This window comes from Homo sapiens, chromosome 13 (assembly GCF_000001405.40).
Source record: "Homo sapiens chromosome 13, GRCh38.p14 Primary Assembly".
Classification (NCBI taxonomy): domain Eukaryota; kingdom Metazoa; phylum Chordata; class Mammalia; order Primates; family Hominidae; genus Homo; species Homo sapiens.
The window spans coordinates 44,498,937-44,522,460 of NC_000013.11; the positions used below are offsets into that span (position 1 = coordinate 44,498,937).

Below are 23,524 nucleotides of genomic sequence, written 5' to 3' on the forward strand. Positions count from 1 at the left end.
AGTCTAAGTCAATCTAAGGAAATGTAAAAAAAAATGCAAAGTTTCATTAAATAAGACTGCAGTCAAGGCAAAATCCTTTAATTAGTTTAGAAAATTTTTAAAAACCTTAAATACAAAAATTTAACTAACTGTTCTCTCCCTCACTGGAAATACAATTCAATTTCAGTCTTTAGAGTTTGACATAGTTATACTCACTCCTGTACCACTATCTACCAATCCCCTAAGGCATATTGCCAAGTTCTCAGGCTTGCCAAATCATTTGGTTGGCATTAGATAATATGCTGGAAACTAGATTCTTTTGGAATATTTTTCAAAGAAAGTATTCTCTACTCTTTCCTTTTGTTTGTGCTGACACACTTGATATCTGAGAATGTTTTGACAATCTGAATGTACCCAGGTGAGCCCAAGAAAAGCCAGAATATATCTCAGGATTTCCTTGATGACTAGAGATAAATTAATATTTTAAAATATCTAAAATATATAAATATTTCCTATAAAATTACATTTGTGTGACACATTAAAGTGTTTTGTTAATGAGGTTAGTTTTACTCTAGTTGTTCAAATCCAATCTAATTCTGCCCACTTTACAACATCTATAGATTTCAAACCCTGGAAGGCATGAAGCACAACTATAAACTTTCTTAGAATCAAGACTGATTCTTCCTAGGGCTATTTCTGCTGGACCCAAAGCATTTCCCCCAAGTTAATATTTGATAAATTCCCAGAAAAGACCTCGGGCAAACATTTTCTCAATGCCACCAATTCTTGTGCTTTGCCTAAGTAATTCATTTGTTTTATATTTTACAGGTTTGGGATCACTTTATTATTATTTCCATCTTTGCAATTGGCTACTAAAAAGCTCACAGCTAGCCGGGTGCAGTGGCTCACATGTGTAATCACAGCACTTTGGGAGGCTGAGGCAGGCGGGTCACCTGAAGTCAGGAGTTGAAGACCAGCCTGGCCTACATGGTGAAACCCCATCTCTACTAAAAATACAAAAATTAGCCAGGCGTGGTGGCAGGTGCTTGTAATCCCAGCTACTTGGGAGGCTGAGGCAGGAGAATCACTTGAACCCAGGAGGCGGAGGTTGCAGTGAGCTGAGATGGCGCCCACTGCACTCCAGCCTGGGTGACAAGAGCGAAAGCCCGTCTCAAAAAAGAAAAAAAAAAAAAAAAGAAAAGAAAAAGAAAAAAGCTCACGGCTAACTTACGGCCCATTTTTAAACTTCCTCATATGCAATCTGGTTATTATCCTCATTCTGAGCTCCATCTTATTAAACTTTTTTTCTCCTTTGCCATTATATATATTTAATTTTGTCATGCTGGATATATTTTTGTAAACTGCCTTTAATCCCTTCTGGAAGAAATCCTTTAAAAAAACCTCATATACACACTTGGCTAATTATTAGCCAGTCTGTTTCTGGGCCTCCAAATGTTACAGGAGCCAGACATAAAATTATTTCACAGCTGTTCAACAATCCTTGTGTTCATTCTTAGTTGACTATATATCTATTCCCCCATATAAACCATTATAGGGATTTTTCATTCTCTTTGAGCCATCACAATTTATCTCACTCTAAATAAATAATGTCACTGCCTAAATTTCAGAGATGAAAGAACCAAGCAGTTAAGCTTCCTCACTTTCCTCACCACACCCCATCTCAAAATTTCTAAATTATAATCTTGACCAAAAGAAAGGTCTCCATCTGGGTTCTTAATGCTAACATTTTTCAGTTTCTTTCTATGGACATGCTTCGTTTTTGTTTAGAGACAGGGTCTCACTCTGCCACCCAGGCTGGAGTGCAGTGGCGCAATCATAGCTCACTGCAGCCTCAAATTCCTGGGTTCAAGCAATCCTCCTGCCTCAGCCTCCTGAATAGCTGGGACTACAGATGCACACCACCATGCCTGGCTAATTTTTTTATTTTTTGTGAAGATGAGTGTCTCACTTTATTGCCCAGGCTAGTTTCAAACTCCTGGCCTCCAGCGATCCTCCTGCCTTCGCCTCCCAAAGTGCTGGGATTACAGGCATGAGCAACTATGTGTGGTCCAACTGGTATATTTAATGGCATTGATTCTGCTGGCTCCTTCATGTGCCAGAGGAATTTTATAAAGAACACTACATTCTCTGCTGTTGTCATTTTCCAGGTAGTACCAGAGGTTCCTGCCATGGACCGAAAAGAATAGTGATTTGGGACTAGAAACTGCGAGGTGGTGAACCAATAGCAAGCAGTGAGGGACAATTTAGAAGGTATAATAGAAAACAGATAAAACCCTGAAAGGCAACAGTTAATAATCAGGCAAGTGGCTGGTTTGAGGGAAGTTCAGCATGCATTAACAGATATCCCAACGATAGGAAATCACAAATGTCACACATCAGAGAGACCCCTCTCCAAAGGCTTAGGGTTATCAAACCAAGGACTCTTCAAAGAGAAATGTAAGTAGCCCAGGTACCTGAATTGGAGTGCAAGGTGGGGAACAAATCACTGGAATAAGGTAGTATACTAATTATAAATACTGAATAAAGCATCAAACTAGCAACAACTACCCTTACTGCTGAATCCCCTGGCATTGAAATGGAACTCTAAATCCTTCCTAAGGGCACACTTGGTCCCAGAGGCTAGGCCGGGTGGAGGGGGTAGCGTATTAGTAGGAATCAAGTGGAACAGATGAAAGAAAATGATCACGGCAGTGACATGCAGAATAAACTGCCAGGAAGAGAAACCCTAAAAGAAGGATAATGAGCTAAGAGTCTACTGTAATAAACACATGAAAAGCTAAACTTAAGAAGCATATTACCTGTATCAAAGCCTCATAAATTTACTAATATCATATTGAAACTAATGTATGTGTGTGAGAGAGAAAACATAAGCGCTAACACATGTGCTGTGGGCTGATCGTCCATTAAAATGGCTCTTTCCCAAAGTCGCCAAATGATCTTTATACTTAACAGCCAGTTCTTCACACTTAACCTACCTAAAATTGTACTCACATGGCACTGAAGACCAAGTGAAATAATTTGTCTTTATATATAGCAACAAAAGGTGTATCAGTTTACACATCTTATCCTACATGGTTCATTTCCATTCACCATCTCTTTCTCATTAGAAGTTTTTAAGGCTTACTCTTATGTGCACTCTCTCTCCTATCGTTTCAATATATTTGTAAATTTTGATGATTCTGATACAGGTAATATGCTTATTAAGAATCTTTTTTCTATGTGTGAGCCTCCTTCCAAATGTTGGATGCCTTCCTGATTGGTGAGTACGTTGTTGATTTTCCCAGTCCCATTTGGTTCCAGAGACACAAAGTAATTGGATACTTGCTTAAGATGAAAAACATTTTCATATAAACCTTTGATTTCTCTCAGGCTGAAAACTCTCACCTCTGATTAATTAAATTGTCTTCATTTTTCAGAGTCCAACAATACTAGTTTTAAAACTTCCAGGCCTTGTTTTCTGTTATTTATTATATGTTAACTCATTTAATCCTTAACTAAGATTCCTTCATTGGAACCACCACACACAGAAAATGATCTGAGTGCCTGTTTTCTCAAATATCCCAAGGATGGTTGATGACCAATGCTATTCCAGAACCACAAAACTGTTGTATTCATTCATACAACAAATGCTTAGCTCATTAGGGCTCAATTTTCTCAAGAAATACCAGTAAAGAAAGGCCACAAGTCACAACTATACAGTGGGTAGGTTATATTATCGTCACCATTTGACAGATGAGGAAACTGTTGACAGATGAGGAAACTGTGCCCCTACAGTGGCAGGGGTTGAGTTGCTTGACTAAGCTTACATAGCTAGTCAGTGGTGGATCCAAGATTCAAATCCAGGCTAGCTTCAAAATCTAACCATGTTATTCTGAATCAACTTAGCTCTTCCTCCATGTACAGACTACACCTTATGACCTAATCTTTAATGATCTGCTTTTTTAAAATCTGTATATTTCACATGCATACATTTGTATACACAATAAAACTGCAAACTATTTAAAGTAAGAACCACAATAAACTTCCCTCATATTTCCACAGTGCTAGCTCACAAAAGGTATTCAAAATTTGTTTGATTGTTGCAATAATAGCCATAAGAAATCAAGAAACAAAGAAAAGTGAATTCAAATAGGTGTGACTAGCTTACATGATATAAGCCTCTCGAGCCAAACTATAGTCATCAGTTGTTAGAGACATGCTAATATGTGTATATTAAACATTCTGAAATTTGAAGATAAAAATACAAACAAGATTTACATAACATAAACATATCACCAATAATTTTCAAGTTATCATATAATACTAATATAAAGGCTGCTATTTCAGCAATTTTACTTCCTAGTTCCCTCTGATAGTTTCTTAGGTTCCCACACAGATATCCTAAAGTACACAGAAAAAAAACAGAGAAGAGAGAGACAACATAGTTAAAGACGAAAGTCTCCAGAAATCTGTTGGGATTCTATTTTGGAATCTACACATTGAGACTAAAGTTGACATGGCAGAAGTGAAAGGAAAAAAAAAATGATTTCCACCCAAACTACAGGATGCCATACATAAATACCTTCAAATTTTCATATTGTTGCCATTGCTAATAGATTTGTAAATCATCCAGTTGTCCCAATAGTTTTCTTCAATTTGGGTTGGGGCTGGGGGGAAAAGATACAATCTAGAATAGAAAAGTCTTTCAGTATTTCCAACTCTAAAGCAGAGAAAAAAGAAGTTTACAAAATAAACTTCTTAAAAGGTTGTAAAGACAAATGAAACAGAAACAGAGGTTAGACCTGGCAAGTTGATGAGTAGGTCATTTTACATTTGATGAATATTTCATCATGACTACTTGATAGCTTTCCTCCTTTTACTTGAATACCGATCAATTACAAAACCTAATTTTATAATTTCTTGAATATATCTACATTTTTATTACAACTAGAAATACTTAAAATACTTTAATATTAAAAAATATTTTAAATAAACTCATGACAAAATAATACAGTAAATAAACCTTAGAGAATATTAACAATAAAAGATAAAGATTACATTCTTAACTCTGAAATATGCAAGACTATATAGCTGGACTCTATTTTAAGTCATGATTACTTAATGGGAATTTGAGCTATGTGTTAATTTCATAACAGAAACCCCAAAACATTGCAAGTGCTTCTTTGTCAGACCCATCAAAGCCCCTGTAAAATGTACAAATGAAAAAAAAAAAAAAAACTACTTGACTTGACTTGAAGCCAGAAAAAGCAAGCCTGTATTTAATGAATATTTCTTCCTTCCCCACCCGCCCCTCCCCGGAAACCAAATATCACTCTACATTTCACCTGTAGTCTAGTTTTAGAGCATTCTTAAGTCTCTCTTAAAAGTCTCAAGTGACTCTCTTAAAAGTCACTGGGTGGGCCCAGTAGCTCATGCCTGTAATCCCAGCACTTTGAGAGGCCAAGGCAAGAGAATCACAGGAGTTCAAGAACAGCCTGGGAAACATGATGAAACCCTGTCTCTACAAGAAATAGAAAAATTAGGTGGACGTGGTGGCTTGCGCCTGTGTTCCCAGCTATTTGAGAGGCTGAGGTGGGAGGATCACCTGAGCCTGGGAGGTGGAGGTTGCAGTGAGCAGTGATCGTACCACTGCACTCCAGCCTGGGTGACAGAGGGAGACTGTCTCAAAAAAAAAAAAAAAAAAAAAATTTTCAAGCAAACTGATAGAAGTAATTTGAATGAAATGTCTGCCCCAATGATAATGTTTTTCATTTCTTGAAAATCATAAAACTAACACCCCAAATGATGTCAAATACTTAAAGTTGAAACATCGGATTACCACAATCTACAATGCATTAAAGTTTCACATATCAACATCAACAGCAAATTTTAATCCTGGACATCTCTTATTTAATTCTAAGAGGTACTAAAAAGCTCTATCAAATATATGTTAAAGGCCAAATGCATACATAAGCTAAAAATCCCAGAATGGTGCTTTTAAAACTAGTGCTCTTGAAAGAAAATTATACATCATGACTGGATCTACTCTGGGATCTTTCTACTCTGGGATGCTTTCATTTAGAAGGTTATCTCCATTGCAGGCAAATTTTTGCCTAATGTGAATCGTAGTGCTCTTTTCCTTTAATGTCAAAGCCTGTGTCTTATATTTTAGTACTCACAGGTTTGCCATTTCATCATCCTTGTATGATTTGGTCAAAATATATATTTTTGGGTCAAGCACAGTGGCTCATGCCTGCAATCCCAGAACTTTGGGAGGCCAAGGCAGGAGGATCACTTGAAGCCAGGCGCTTGAGTCAGCCTGAGCAACAAAGCAAGACCTCATCTCCAAAAAAAATTAAAATAAGGGTGGGTGCAGCAGCTCCTGCCTGTAACCTTGGGAGGCTGAGGCAGGCAGATCACTTGAGCTCAGGAGTTCGAGACCAGACTTAGCAATATGGCAAGACCCTGTATCTACAAAAATACAAAAAATTAGCCAGGCGTGGTGGTGCGTGTCTATGATCCCTGCTACTTGGGAGGTTGAGGTGGGAGGATTGCTTGATCCCTGGAGGTTGAGGCTGCAGTAAGCCAACACTGCACCACTGCACTCCAGCCTGGGGCAGAATGAGACTCCGTCTCAAAAAATAAAATACATACTATATATATTTAAACTATACAGTTTTTTAAAATCCAAATTGTGCAATTAAACAAGGAAACAACATATTCTGCTATTAAATTATCCCAGAAAAAACTCTGTGATTTCACTTTAGGATCAAAACCAAAAATCATTGTTATTGAACTACTAGACTTTTCAATAAATTTCCATTTCATTAAGTACTTATTTATTGAATGCTTACTATGTATAAGGCACCATGCTACATTCTGTGAGGGCATCCAAAGAAGAATAAGACATTTCTTAACCTAAAGGGGCTTATGGAACAGAAGAAATCTTTTTTAACATGTAATGATAACAGCAGAAATCTCTCTAGTACTGGGCAGTGTTTTCAGTATTTTAAACATACATTAACTCATTTTATTCCTCCTAACAGCTCTGTGAAATAGGTAGGAAAATGAGACTCAGAGAGGTTAAGTAACCAGAGCAAGGTGGGGAATAATAAGAGGTGAACTGGGATGCGAATGCAGGCAGTGTGGCTCCAGAGTCCATGCTTCTAACCACTCTGCCCCACTTACTCTCAAGCACTGATGAAGGTATAACGAAGTAATAATGATGGCAGTTTCTTAAAGCTACAGAAAAAATGTATGGAGTTTCCAAAATTAGATTACATTCCATCAAGTAGAAATTTAAATATGGTCCCAGAAGGGCAGGTGAGTTTCAGGGGAACAGTTGAGTAGGAATTCTGGGAAAGAGAGATGCCTAAGAAAAAGCAAGACATTGTGTGAAAGCAGTCTACCTTTGCAGGGTCATGGATAGAGCTGGAAGCCATTATCCTCACCAAACTAATGCAGGAACAGAAAACCAAATGCCGCATGTTCTCGCTTATAAGTGGGAGCTGAACGATGATGTCATATGAACACTTCAGGGGTTATAACACACACTGGGACCTGTTGAGGGGGCAGGGGAGGGACAGCATCAGGAAGAATAGCTAATGGATGCTGGACCTAATACCTATGGTTGATCTGTGCAGCAAATCACCATGGCACATGTTTACCTATGTAACAAACCTACACATCCTGCACATGTATCCCAGAACTTAAAAGTGGATGGGAAAAAATAAATAAAAAGTATATGTAAGAAGATAGCTAGAAGGGAACAGGGAAAAGTGTTCTACCACTAAAGATTTCTGAGCTGGGTATCGAGAGAGTATGGAAAAGATGGAAGTGGGCTTGGACACTGGGTGACCAGTAAGGTGTCTCCACAGATAATTTAAAGAGGTCATACAGCCTGGACTACAGTGGTGATAATGGGGATAGAGAGGAGAAGAACAAAAAGGCAAGACACTACAGAATCTGAGATTTCACAATGGGATGAATGTGTACACAGTGCCTGCTGTGTATCTGGGGACTCAGGAACAAGCATGTCAGAGGCATGAGAAAATGGAGTCAAAGGTCCTAGGCTTTTAGCCTGGAGTACTGGAAAATTGGGACAATCATCAATAGAAGCTATAAACTGAGGAGAGGGAGCACATATAAATATAAGGCAGCTATCTCAGCACAGGGCAATGGGAAAGAGGCCCAGGTTGAAGATAAAGATTTGGAGTCAATTGCAGAGTTTAGACTTTAAGAACTACAGCAAATGCTTCAGGAGTAAGTAGACAGAAAGGAACAGAACTAAGGAGATAACCTTTTATACCTACAGGTACCTTATGGGAGGAAGGGTTAACAGCCAAGAAAGGAGATAAAAGCAGCAGAGGTAAGAATAACGTTGCTACAGTAGCGCAAGGTTCAAAATGAGGAAGGCTCAAAAAGGAGCGAAAGGCCAAGATTAGGGAGGTCTGAGAAGGCGTCAGAGTAATACATTATACTGAAGGACTAAGGAAGATGTTTTCAAACTAAGGAGATGTTTTCAAAGTTTTGCAAAGCAAATATCTTACTTTACTTTTTTTTTTTAATGTGCAAAGACTAATATGTATGTATTGATGCTAGCCCCCTATAGCTAACACAGGAGATGGATTTAAAGTACACAAAATACTATAGAATTGCAACCCCTCAGACTGAAGAAGATACTGAAAATAGATGAAGCTGCAATATAAACAAAATTTACAGCTTGCTGTAATGTCAATTTTATTCATTAGGTAAAGTATTTCATATGAAAACAAAACCGCATTAAGAAATGAAGTAGAAGATTCCCAAGACTTCAAAGAATTTTCACTCTTGCCTCAATCCCTTCAGTTTTGCTTCCCCAACTCCCCATGTTTGCATTCATTCTCCCGAATCTTTGGCTCTGTCCTCAGAGTGCCATATAATTCAGCATGATAAATGCCTACCACAGGGGAAGATATAAGGCACTACGACAGCACAAAGAGGGATCCTTCCTGAGCCCTGGGGAATCACAGGCAGCTTCCTAGAGGAATTATACAAATTCTAACTTGCGACAGCAGTTAAGTGTGGGAATAATTTAACTGGTGTCCCAAGAATAATATATCCCAGAACTCTCAAGTCTCATCCATACACTGAAGTTATAATAGATTTGGAGGGAATTAAACTTAAAACATGTTGTTAATAAAATGGTGCTTGCAGCTAGGAGAAACTGACAAGTGTTTTGCTTTTTATTTCAGTACTATAAATGACCAGACTTCCCATTCTTCCTATGTAAAATAGCAATATTAGTATCTTCTGAATTCACTCAATCATTTATAATTAAAGTTCAGTTAACTTCACAGGGATGTTCAAAGACAGCTGACAGTAAATGTTTGAGATTCACATACATAGAAACTATATTTAGCCAGGGGTTGGTGAGCTTGGTTAAAGTATGATACTAATGAACACATGGTTCCGATGTTCATACGTTCTATAAGCTTAACTTTTCCATGGAGTAAACTTGGCCAGTTATCTTCAGTTGTGCTGCAGATGGTCACAATATGAATTGTTTTTTTAAAAAAAGGAAACGAATCAGTTTAACACTGCCACCTGGATAACATAAATCATGTCCCAACACACCTCCCAGCTTCCACTCTTATTCCTCTATAATCCGTTTCTCCATCCAACAGCCAGGATGATTTTTTTAAAGGCACATTAGACTATGTTGCCCACCACCCAGTTCCAGTTAAAAATCTTTCAACAAAGCTCTATTCACAGTATAATAGGAACCTAACTCTTACAGGGCCCTACAGCATCTGGCCCCTGCTTACCTCTGCAGCTTCATCTCACACCACTGTCCCCTTGCTCCCCATGCTCCAGCCACCCAAGTCTCCCTGCTGTTCCTCGAGCAAATCAAGGCTCCTTTCCACAGCAGAGCCTTTGTACCTCCTGTGTCCTCAGCCAATACACACAGTCAGACACAGCCCCCGTGCTCATGGGTAAGAACTGAGGAAGGAAATGTCCAAGCAAAAACAAACTATATAAAAAGCACATGAGGCCCCATGTGATAAGCATGAAGTGGCAGATAAGCAACAATCTTGACAGGACAAAATAACAAGTTTAGGGAAAATTAAAATTAATGTTAATAAGCCATACTCATTGAATGAAGAACTCTGAATTATTATCAAACAACCCAAGACCCAATATAAAGTGAAAATCTCAACTTTACCCAGTGCGCTTCCACACTCAGACAGGCCAATAAAATTATTAGAAACAAAACAGTACCCCCCCCAAAATGGTGCACTAACACTAACAATGCTACAGTCAATACCAGTGAATTCTGAAGCCAAGATTATTACGCTGGAGGAGTAATCAAAATGATGAAGAGGGTAGGACGCTGGTGATGGTTGCACAACAATGTGAATATACTTAATGCCACTGAACTGTACATTTAAGAAGTGTATAAGGCAGGGCGTGGTGGCTCACGCCTGTAATCCCAGCACTTTGGGAGGCCAAGGCAGGCAGATCACTTGAGGTCAGGAGTTTGAGACCAGTCTGGTCAACATGGTGAAACCCCGTCTCTATTAAAAATACAAAAAATGAGCCGGACGTGGTGGCGGGCGCCTGTAGTCCCAGCTACTCAGGAGGCTGAGGCAGGAGAATCGCTTGAACCCAGGAGGCGGAGGTTGCAGTGAGCCAAGATCGTGCCACTGCACTCCAGCCTGGGCGACAGAGCGAGACTCCATCCATTATTTTATACACTTAAAAATGGTTAAGATGGTGAATTTTATATTATGTGTATTTTACCAGGTTTTTTTTCAAGGAATAGGAAAGTTTCAACAGATCTGTAAGACAATTTTTCACCATGAAAAAACATAAAAGCTAAGAAAGATACCTTCTAAATCTATTAAATTGAAGATGCAGTAAGAATATGTAATGGTTCACTAACAGAAAAAAGAGACAGTTGAAAGAAATATATTTTTAACATGTTTAGCTTCACTAATAAACTTACATTATTAAAACAAGATATTATTTTCACCTGTCAAACTAGAAAATAAGCAAAAAAAAAAAAAAAAAAAAAGCTAAAAAAAAAAAATAACCTGGGCAAGGAAAATGAGTTCTCATGTACTTTGCTAGTGAAGCTATAGTCAAGGCCCTTTGGAAAAGGAACTTGTCAGCATATATTAGGAGTCTTAAAAATGTTTATACTCCGCTAGGCACGGTGGCTCACACCTGTAATCCTAGCACTCTGGGAGGCTGAGGCGGGTGGATCACCTGAGGTCGGGAGATCGAGACCAGCCTGACCAACATGGAGAAACCCTGTCTACTAAAAAAAAAAAAAAAATACAAAATTAGCCGGGCGTGGTGGCGCATGCCTATAATCCCAGCTACTCAGGAGGCTGAGGCAGGAGAATCACTTGAACCTGCGAGGCGGGGGTTGCAGTGAACCAAGATTGCGCCAGTGCACTCCAGCAGGAGCAACAAGAGTGAAACTCCGTCTCAAAAAAAAAACAAAAAATGTTCATACTCTTCGGCCCTGCAATTGCACTTCTGTGAATTAACTCTAACGAAATAATCCTAAGTGTCTAAAAAGATTAATGCACAAATATGAATGTTCTTCACAGCACTATTTATAAATATAGTAGAAAATGAAATGAACATCAGGCAATAAGAATAAAGCTCTGGTACAGCCATATGTTTTGTTTTGTTTTGTTTTGTTTGGAGACAAGTTCTCTCTGTTGCCCAGGCTGGAGTGAAGTGGCATGATCTCGGCTCACTACAACCTCCACCTCCCAGGTTCAAGGGATTCTCCTGCCTCAGCCTCCTGAGTAGCTGGAACTACAGGAATGCACCACCACACCCAGCTAATTTTTGTATATTTTTTGGTACAGACAGGGTTTCCCCATGTTGACCAGGCTGGTCTCAAACTCCTGACCTCAGGTGATCTGCCCAATTCAGCCTCCCAAGTGCTGGAATTACAGGCACGAGCCATCATGTCCAGCCCAGCCATATGTTTTTTATAAGAAACTCACAATGTTTCTGAAGAACTCGTGGTAATTTGTGAAAAAATTATGAAAAATTGTATATACCAAGTATAATTTCAAACATTTTCAGGCCAATGTGGTGGTTTACACCTGCAATCCCAGCGTTCTGGGAGGCAGAGGTGGGAGGATCACTTAAGCCCAGGGAGACCATCCTGGGCAACACGGCAAAACCCTATCTCTACAAAAAAATACAAAATATTAGCCGGGCATGGTGGTGCGCACCTGTAATCCCAGCTACTCAGGAGGCTGAGAGGCTGGAGGATTGCTTGAGCCCGGGAGGTTGCAGCTGCAGTGACCATGATCACACCACTACACTTCAGACTGGGCAACAGAGTGAGAACCTGTTTCAAAAAAAAACCAAAAAAAATTTTCAAACAACATAAACAAAAACCTTTGCCTGTAATTCTTCTGCTTTTCTATAGCTGAGCTCATGTCACAGTAATAGTGGGAAAGGAAGAAGTTTACTTCTAACTTATATTTGGGAAAAGAAAGCTATGAACGTCATAAAACATCCACCCAGCTGTCTATCATCTCAATTAAGTTGTTGGTACTCTAAGATCAGGAGCCAAGTTTTATTTATCGCTAACATCTGGCATATAACTAATTGACATATAGTAATTGTTCAATATGACAATCCAAAAACACCTATCCATCTAAATGACAGCTTTCTGAATAAAAAGAAATACACACACACACACACACACACACACACACACTTTTTTGTTGTTGTTAAACAATCAGGAATCAGACAACCAAGCCAAAAAACCTGGGAATCTCTGAAGTAGAATTTATGATTTTTTTTAAATGCTGCCACCAATGAATGCTTTTTAAAACAATCTTTAGAGGAAGTAGTAGAAATGGATTCATGAAGGTAAGTTTTAATTCAGACACTGAAGGAGGGCCTGATTATATTTGGTTAAGTGAAGAGCTTGGAGAGCAATTTAGATAAACAGGAGCTACCCAAGCAAAGGGCAGAATTAGGATCTTCCATCCCCTTTAAATGCCAATGCTCCCAAAAGTTGTACCTTCAACCTTCTGCTTTTCTCATTCTCATTCTACACACATTTTCAGGGCAATCGCATTTATTCTCACAGCTTTAATTATCACTTAAGATGACAGCTCCCACCATCAACATCTTCATTTCAGAATTGTATCCCAATCTTCAAACTCAAATTTGAACGCCCACTGGCCATCTCTACTTGGATATTTATTTCTTTTTTTGTTTGTTTGTTTTCTTTTTTTGTTTGTTTTTGAGACGGAGTCTTGCTCTTTCGCCCAGGCCGGAGTGCAATGGCGCTATCTTGGCTCACTGCAAGCTCCGCCTCCCAGGTTCACGCCATTCTCCTGCCTCAGCCTCCCGAGTAGCTGGGACTACAGGCGCCCATCACCGCGCCCGGCTAATTTTTTGTATTTTTAGTAGAGACGGGGTTTCACCGTGTTAGCCAGGATGGTCTCGATCTCCTGACCTCGTGATCCGCCCGCCTCGGCCTCCCAAAGTGCTGGGATTACAGGTGTGAGCCACCGCGCCCAGCCTTGGATATTTATTTCAAACTCAACATGCCTTAAGCTTAGTGTTTCCTCTGTAAACCTGTTTCTCCTATATTCCCTATTACTGTGAAACAGAACCACTTCCCACCTGGAAAATCAGATTATCTTCATCCCTTTCTCTACATCTACATCTATAAATTAACAAGACTTAGGAATTCCTTAGTAAAAGCAATCTTTTTTGTTTTGTTTTTTGAGATGGAGTCTTGCTCTGTCACCAGTGCAGCGACGCGATCTCAACTCACTGCAACCTCTGCCTCCCAGGTTCAAGCAATTCTCCTGCCTCAGCCTCCCAAGTAGCTGGGACTACAGGCGTGCGCCATCACGCCCAGCTAATTATTGTATTTTTAGTAGAGACAGGGTTTCACCATGTTGGCCAGGATGGTCTCGATCTCTTGACCTTGTGATCTGCCTGCCTCGGCCTCCCAAAGTGCTGGGATTACAGGCGTGAGCCACTGCGCCTGGCCTCTTCATTCTTATCTCTAAAGCCTGTGTCCTAATTCAGGATCAGGTTAGCTCCTTCCTAAATCCTGAAATTGCTTCCTAGTTGACTTTCTCACCTCCAGTCCTAACTTTCACCAATTCTTTTCAGAAATCAGCTTAAATGTCACATCCTCAGGAAGGTCTTGCCCATTCTCTAGGTCAGGTTGGATTTAACTGCAATTGATCTCACAGTACTCCTCTACTTCCCCTAACACTAAAAAATGTCCTTGTAATGGTTGTCTTTATCCTATTAAGTGAGCTTCTGCATGAGAGAAGGGATTGTCTCTCTGATACCATTTTGCTTTACTGCATCTAGGAGTTCATTAAAATCACTTATATGTGATCTAACATGTGACTAATAATTGCCTCATGCTTTATATCTCAAACATGAACATACTTTTCCAAACATATATAAATGTTTTTGGTGATCAATACTATACCAATTTAAATCACTGCTAGAAATGATAGGTTTTTGTCATGTATTTTCAAAAGTCACAATACACAAAACACATAACCTGTGACTTTTTTTGATAACAGAAATAGGTCTTCATACTTGAAAATGTGGAGATAACTAGATTGGGAAGAAAATGGCCTAACAAAATAGAGTGAAATATTTAGCAATAGAAAACACTCCAGAAATAAAGTGAATTGGCTAGGACAGAGATCCACTTATAAACCCTGGCTATGTTTTTTCATTCAGATTCAGAGTTTGTGTAAACCACTGGAAACCCTAACAACAGGAGACATATCCAACTACAGTCACCATAAGCAGTATCAACCAGGGCAATGCTGAACCGCAGTAGAGAATCTTTTCTCTTCTAACTTCTTTTAACTTTGTTCTCAGCTAATTAAGGCCTTCGGGAAAAGAGAATTCAGATGACAAGTTACTTCAGTAAGCACAAATAACCTCAGACACCAATTAAAAACAGTTTTAATAGATAAACCTTGAGGATAACCCACACCAAACTCAAACCATGTAGTAGAAAAGTTGCTAAAAGTTCCTTTCAACTTGCAGGTATAGACAACTAAAGTTTTGGCAACTCAACTAACAAGGAAACTGAGAATAGAAAATGTTACCTTTTCTATTACTCATTTATTCTATCACCCTTATATGCAAATTTGAAGGACATTCCAATTAAAACTCATTCTGAATATGATCTGATGATCTGGAGAAAATATGAATTATTCATTAAGTGTTATTAGAACAACTAGAAGCCATCTGCAAAAAAATACAATTGAATCCACTCAGTGCACCAAAATCAATTTCAAAGGAGTTAAGATTTATGTAGGAAAAAAAAAGAATCAATAAAGTAAATGTAAAATAATTCCTTTATCGCCTTGAAGTAAACAAGATCTTCCCTACTCAAAATTCTAGTCATAAAAGGAAACTTTGATGAATTTGACTACATAAAAAAAACCTATGCATGCCCCCCACATCACACACACACAAAAAAACCACCATGAACAAGATCAAAAGATAAATATCAAACTGGGAAAAACGTTTACTACTCATATCACTGACAAAGGGCTAATCCAAAACACACACATACACACACACACGATGATACAAACTGACAGTATACGGAAACACAAATATTTATAAAAAGAAGTTTAGGCCAGGTACCGTGACTCACACCTGTAATCCCAACACTTTGGGAGGCCAAAGGGGGCAGAACACTTGAGGTCAGGAGTTCAAGACTCGCCTGGCCAACAAGGTGAAACCACGTCTCTACAAAAAATATAAAAATTAGCTGGACATGGTGGTATGCACCTGTAATTCCAGCTACTCAGGAGGCTGACGCAGGAGAATTGCTTGTACCCAGGAGACGGAGGTTGCAGTGAGCCGAGATCGCACCAATGCACTCCAGCCTAGGTGACAGAACAAGATCCTGTCTCAAAGAAAAAAATAAATAAATAAAAGAAGTTTAAAGTCATTTATTAAAAACATGCAAATTAAAATTACTCTGAGATACAGTATTAACCTAATAGATAAGCAAAAATCCAGATGTTTAATGGCATACTCTAATGATAAGGCAGCAGGAAAAGAGGCATTCTCATCCATTGCTAGTGGGAGGGTAATCTGGTGCAACTCCTATAGAGGGCAATTTGACAATAGTCATCAAAATTATAAAATCATACCCTTTGTCCCAGCAATTCTACTTCTGGGAATTTAACTTATGAATATATATATGCAGATAGACAGGAACGACACCTGTACAAAGTTACTCACTACAGTATTATATTTAGTAGCAAAAGATAATAAACTATCTAAAATAAGCATTGATTAGAGATTGGTTAAGTAAAATGTGGTATATCCATGAGACACAATCCTCTACAACTATTTTTTTTTTAAAAAGAATAAGGTAGTCATCTATTTACTATATGGAAAGATGGCCAAGAAATATTAAGTGAAAAAAAAGCAAAGAGCAGAACAGCATATATAGTGTACAAGTTTTGTGTAAAATTTTAAGTGAAAAAAATCTTTTTTTTTTTTTGAGACAGTTCTTTCTTTCACCCAGGCTGGAGTGCAGTGGCACAATCTCGGTTCTCTGCAGCCTCCACCTTCTGGGTTCAAGTGATTCTCCTACCTCAGACTCCCAAGTAGCTGGAATTACAGACATGTGCCACCATACCCGGCTAATTTTGGTATTTTTAATAGAGACAGGGTTTTGCCATGTTGGCCAGGCTGGCCTCGAACTCCTGGCCTCAAGTGATCACCCACCTTGGCCTCCCAAAGTGCTGGGATTGCAGGTGTGAGCTACCATGCCTGGCCTAAGTGAAAAAAATTCTTAATTGCATGAATATGTATATATCTGAAATAACATATAAAAAACTTAATAGTGGCTGCCTAGGGCTAGGAAGGTGAGAAGTATTTGGTGAATTTAAAACAGGTATAAGAGCAAAACTTTGCAATATGTACCATTTTACACCTATTACAAATTTTCAAAAGAAAAACCACCTCACTTCAAATAAGCAGTAGAACTTCACAGAGGGAGAAATAAGGATATTAATATAAACAAAATCCACACTTCTAGTATACTATTTTCAAGAGTAGGCAAACTTTTCATGTTTTCTAATACTTTTTGAAATGAACAGCTGAAATAGAAAGTGGGGTTGATTTTAATAAAAACATATCCAATTCCCAAAAAGTGGTTTCAAGTGTTTTAGCTATTAGTAGTATGCAGTATCCCCGGAATAATACATTACTTGACCTGCAGAACTTTAGCACCTATGCTACTAAAAAAAAAGTTCTCTTGTTGAACATCATTAGTTTACTTGAGACTTTGGGGGCACTAGAAATTGACGCTGAATGGTGAGAAAGCACCTCCCTTTACCAGCTCCCCTCTACCACAGGTTACCTCCCTCTAATTCTGAAGAACCTGCTTTTTAAAAACAAATTCTCTTAATAGTCTTTTTAAAATCTCTTAATAAATAAAAGTTCCTGAAGACTTGAAATCAAGCTCCCAAAGGGGACTTCGGCATAAAGGCTTATGGAAACTAGCCACATGGTGGCCATCAGACAGAAAAGAAACCCAGGACACCCCAACACATCAAAGACACCCAGGCCATTTTCAAAGCACACCAGTGACTGCATTATACCAGTAAAGAAATATTCTTTTTATGGGGGGAAAAAAAAGCAAACTAATATTACAAGTGAATACTCACTTGATCTACCTTTGTTAAAATTAGCAAAATGTATAAAGAGACATTTTTTAAAGTACCCCATCAAGAATCCATTAAGCAGAAGAAATGAGGCTGAGGCACTTAGTTTTCTTCCCTCAAAGGCAGGATTTTTAAAAGTTAAATTTTCCCTCTGTAATTCCCTTCATTTCTCCTCCTATTTCTGGAAACAGCAACACTACTAACAACAGAAGCTTATCAAAGCAGAAAACATTTCAGCAAAAGCAGATCAATTACCTATAAGATGGAGGAAGAAAGGGATAGCAGTCTCTTCCTAAGTCCTGCCCAGTTAGTCACCCCGCCTTCTTCCTGCCACCTGCTGATCTCAGCTCTACACCAGGGCAACAATCCTAAAAAAGCAACCTGGAAGTACAGCTGCCTGATCCATCATGTTCCCTTCCTGGTCTGAGATCAATGAAAGGTTTACACAGAGATATACACGTGTGTGTTTGTGTGTATACACATGTATACCTGTATATAAAAATTTGATCTAGATTATATGTGTGTATATGCATTTTAAAGGAAATAATGGAAACGGACCTATTTTTCAAACCTCTCTATTCATCCTGTACTACAACCTATTTTACAAACTAATATTTATTTTTGTACACAATGTGCTCTTATGTATGACCATTACTTCTAAAACAGAGAGCAATAGTAACCATCGTTACCGTAAAAACAAAAACAAAACACACACACACACACACACACACACAAATGTACTCCTTCCTCACAAAAATTGGGTAAAGATTAGAAAAAATAAACAGTAAGCATAAATTAGAAAATTTCCCACAAGAAATTATCTACAATTGGCAAGACATATCAATAACAACAGAATTGTTAAATTTTCAAACTGAAAATGTGCAGGATTACTATCCATTGATCAATCAAAACCTGAGCATTTTGAAGTATTTTCCGGGCCAGGTGCGGTGGCTTGCGCCTATAATCCCAGCACTTTGGGAGACTGAGGTGGGTGGATCACTGGAGGTCAGGAGTTCAAGACCAGCCTGGCCAACATGGTGAAACCCTGTTTCTATCAAAAGAAAAAAAAAAAAAGTTTAAGTATTTTCCAGCTTAATACTATATATATATACATATATACGTATATATGTGTGTGTGTATATATATATATACACATATATATACATATATATACACACATATATATGTGTGTGTGTGTGTGTGTATATATATATATATATATATATATATATTTTTTTTTTTTTTTTTTTTTTAACAAGGTCTCACTGAGCCGAGGCTGAGTGCATTGGCAGGATCACAGCTCACTGCAGACACGGACCTCCCAGGCTCAAGCAATCCTCTCACCTTAGCCTCCAGAGTAGCTGGGGCTATAGACGTGCACCACCACGCCCAGCTAACTTTTTTTTTTTTTGTAGAGACAGGTCTCTATGTTGTCCAGGCTGGTCTCAAACTCCTGGACTCAAGTGATCCTCCAGCGTTGGCCTCCAAGTGTTGGGATTACAGAAGTGAGCCACCACCCCTAGCCCCTTATTTTCTTTAAATGACTAGGAATTAAATCTCAAAGATATGTCAGCATGTTCAAAATAATTTTGATGAAAAAAGAAGTTAAACATCTCAGAAGTGCTATGCTGCTGCAAAATAGAGGTAAACAAACGACAGTCACAAAAGGTATTTCTAATTAGGCAAACTGTGTCATCCCTCAAAAAAGGGAAAAATTAAAAACAGGTTGTTTATTTCATTCAGTTCTAATTATAGTATCTAGCTAGCAAAGTATCATGAATGCAGTATTACTTTCATCAAATTTTGGTTTAATATTTATCTAAGATTGTACAATTATTTTATTCAATAAAAGTTCAAAGATGTTGGAAATGAAAAACAAATGTGGGAATTAAGGTGATGGAAAACCCTATTAAGGCTGGAATTTAATTAACATGCAAATTATTTTAATTTTAAAGGCCTATGAGAGAAAAAAATTTTAAACCATACTCTAAACCAGTAACTTCCAACACAGGTGTGAGAAACAATCTACTTGGTGCTGAATTAAAATATTATCCAAATTACTGGTTTTTTATCTTAAAAGGAAAGACATTGCGCTTTGATTGTATTTAATAGGCAAACTGACACTGGTACACTTACTTAGTCCATCCCTTAATCAGATGGTCTCCCATCAACTCCCAGTGTTCAAGTTGAGGTTTTTAAAATTCAGGCTATCACTAAATATCCCTTCCCAGAGATGATCACAAGTCAAAATCACCTGAGAGTTCTGAAAGTGGTCAAACCTTCTATACTTATATCCAAATTAATTAAAACTATCTTGAAACTTTATTTTCAATGTTAGAAACACAATGTAATTTTTCAGTTTTGAAAGGCCTGAAACAGTGGATTTAGTGCCAATTATTTTCTTAAGGTGTTAGAATCTAGAACCGGTCTAAATTTTTTTTCTTCAATAGCATTTATTTTACCATTATAGAAAAGCAAGGGGCTGGGAGAGGATGTTATAGTTTAAGTTAGTTCAGCTTTTACAGAAAATGATTTCAACAATATCATTGTGATCTTATCTTTCATTGATTCAAAGCAGTATGTTTTACATCTATCATGTTAGGTTTCTTCTTTCACTGATTACTTTCCTTCCCTTTTTTTCATAGTAAATGAAAAATAAGGCTGACATCTTAAAATTCAATGTATGAAGGGTATAAGCCAATTAGCTATGCTAATAAGCAATGGCAAATGGTAAGCAAAAGTAAACAAGATCCTGGTCTCTCACAGGATTTTAGCTACAGGGAGAAATGGCACGCAAAAATGTAAAACCAGGAGTATACAAAATGGAGTATACATGGCACAATGACAGCAAACAGAATGATCTCACCTATTCAAGAACATCACAAGAGACGTCCCTGAAGTAAGTAAATGGGCAAAAGAGACAGCCAAAAAGTGGTCAAAGGTAAGACTGGAAAGGTAAATGGCGACTCTCAGGTTTTCAAAAATTATAGCAAGAATTTTTGTCTCTACCCTACCCATGAATCCCAAAATTAATTGGAAGCCAATATAATGTTTTAATTAAAGGAATAACATCACTCCAGCCAAATTCTGGAGAATGAATTTCATTAGCATAAGGTTATATACAAGGAGACCAATTAGAACTCTTGCATCCAAGTTAGGAAATCATGGATTGAGACAAGGTAATGACAACAGGATATATGGCTGAGATATTTCAGCCCTCCAGCCCGTAAAAAAACCAACAGGACTAGATGATGGATTATGGTGTAAGGACTACAGATATACTGAAATACGACACCCAGGTTTCCAGCATACATAACTGAACACATGTGGGTGACAGTCACTAAGATGAGATCTCCCAAAAGAAAACCAGATTTGAAGGCGAAGATCATAAATTCATAAAGCATGTTTGAAGTGCTCCTGGGACACCCAAAAAGAGAAGTCAAATAGGTAGATCTATGAAGTTGATCAGTGTTATAAACACGAGTCATCTGTGTGAAGGTATTCAATCTGTGGTATTGGTAGAAATGCCCAGAGAATTGACACATGATAACCAAGGACCCTGCCTAAGAAACTCCCATATATAAAGTCCAGGTAGAGTGAGAATGAGTCTGCGAATCAGACTAAAAACTGGCCAGAAAGACAGGAAATCAGAGGACTAAAGATTAATAGCACCCAAAGTGTGAAGAGAGAATGTAGTCTACTGTTTCAAATGCTGCTGAGGGTACACATATGACTAGATACAAAGCTGTCCACTTGATCTACTAATAACCTCAATAGTATTATTTCAGTGAGGTTATCAGAGGTGGAAGCAAGATTCAAGTGGGCTGAGTAGGGGAGGAATGGAGAGATTACAGAGTTTTTAAGTTTGGGTATGCAGAGGAAGCATGGGGAAGTAGCTAGATATAAATCAATGAAAGTTTTAGACAAACTTTAACATGCTTCTATGCATAAGAGAAGGATCTAGTTGAAAGGAAAAAGTTAAATATGAGAAAGAAGTAATTTTTTAAAAATCTTAAGATCTCAGATAGCAGAGGTGATAAGATATAGAGCATAGGTGAAGCTGAAGGAAGGGGTGTTGAACATGTCAGATTTATGTTTGGTATCAGAATGAAGGATATCCCATCTGATGGTTTCTAATTTCTCTGTAAGGTTGAAATGAAGTATCCACTGAAAAAGCTGCATATTACTCAACGTAAGTGTACTAGAATGTAATAAAATTTTGGCTAAATGAGAAGCCCTTTATGTAGTAACAGAGACTACTTTCACATTTATTGCAGGGTCTGGCACATAGTAAATGCTTTACATATATTAGCCAATGTATTCCTCAAAACCATCCCAGGAGGTAGGTGTGTTTATTAGTCCCTTTGCAGATGAGGAAACTGAGACATGCAGTTTAAATGACTTGCCCAAGGTGAGTGGCAGTGCTGGATATTCAAATCCAAACACTGACCCTAGAGAGCAAAAGCTCAGTGCGCTAAAAGACCTCTTATTGGGCTTAAGACTGCCCCTAGAGCACCCATATTGTCAATACAGATGGATGGTTTCTTAAGACAATTGAGAACCTAAGTCTGGGACTTCTAGGACGCTAACCCCCCACTATCAAATAATAAAAGATACAAACTTACTTTTAGCTAAGAAACCTAGGCAATTCCATTGTGATGATGTCAAACACAGTGAAAGCTTTCAGTCATGCTATGGGATTTAATTGTGTATCCTCATTACTGTATCATTTGTGGGGTACACCCCTTCCCCCTTTTTTTTAAATTAAATACAGCTCATTCTTACTGTGGCTTGTAGCATTCCCCTCTTCTGGCCTCCTGGACTCCTCCCCTTCATCTCTCTTACCCTTGCCCCCTCCACCCGGTCTTGATAGTGGTATATTAAAAAAAGAAAGAATGAAAGCACATAAAATGAGTCAGTTTGGGGTCAGTGGTATAAAGGGGGTATATGTTGTGAACAAATGTTTTAATAACAGTTGGCTGTAATCACTCCTCGCCATGTCTGGCACTGAAAATAAGGGAAAAAAAACCTACTGAATAAAAGTGACAAAGAATGGAAAAAAAAAAAAAAAGAAACCTAGGCAATAAGACTTCATAAATTGACAGCTATAAAGTTCACACACTTGAGGAAGAATCCGAAAGATTTTTCTTTCTTAACCTTTCATTACTTGTTTTCCAAAACTACAACTTTCTAACAGCACTAAAATGGCACTATAATTTACCTACATACATATGGATCTTCCTCACTAAATTTGGGCATCTCAAAGGCTGCCTATGTCTTCTTCCTTAAAATATTTGTTTGGCGCCTACTGTGTAGCAGCTGCTAAAAAAAACAATAGCAAACAAGACAGACGTGATCCCTGGTCTCAGGAAGTCAGACAATAAATAGACCAACAATATATGCTTTTAAATTGGGCAAAATAGTAGTAAAGAATTGATGTAATGTTAGAGAGTAAAAGTCAAGGAAGAGAACTAAATGTTTAGATATAATGACTAGAAAAGGCATCCCTGAAGAGGAAACATTTAAGCTGAGACTTAAAAGGGGCATTCCAGTCATTAGGAATCCCCTAAGGTAGTAGACAGTAACACATTCAGAGACTAAATGAGCCAAAGGTGGCTGGAGAGGAAGAATGAGGGTAAAGTTGGAAGAAAAGGTAGGGCCTGATCATTTAGGGTCTCACAGGCCATGATAAAGAATTTGGATTTTGTTGTTTGTATAAAGGAAAGCAATTAGATATTAAACAGAAAAGGCATTTTATTTATGCCTTTAAAATCACAAATCATATTCTGTGAATAAAACAGGGATCAACAGATAAGGCAAGACCAGTAAGGACT

The 23,524-nt window shown here is 38.1% G+C and overlaps 1 protein-coding gene across 4 annotated transcripts in view, besides 1 other annotated feature; it reads right to left on the bottom strand.

The window, feature by feature from the left end:
* Nucleotides 1-23,524, bottom strand: part of TSC22D1 (TSC22 domain family member 1) — a 145,202-nt gene that overhangs the window by 66,794 nt on the left and 54,884 nt on the right. The window lies entirely within an intron of this gene.
* Nucleotides 17,752-18,253: an enhancer, noted in NCBI's record as "NANOG hESC enhancer chr13:45090824-45091325 (GRCh37/hg19 assembly coordinates)". NCBI's record gives its function as "activates a minimal SCP1, AML or CMV promoter by ChIP-STARR-seq in naive H9 embryonic stem cells {active_cell/tissue: H9 hESC(naive)}" and the evidence as "EXISTENCE:reporter gene assay evidence [ECO:0000049][PMID:30033119]".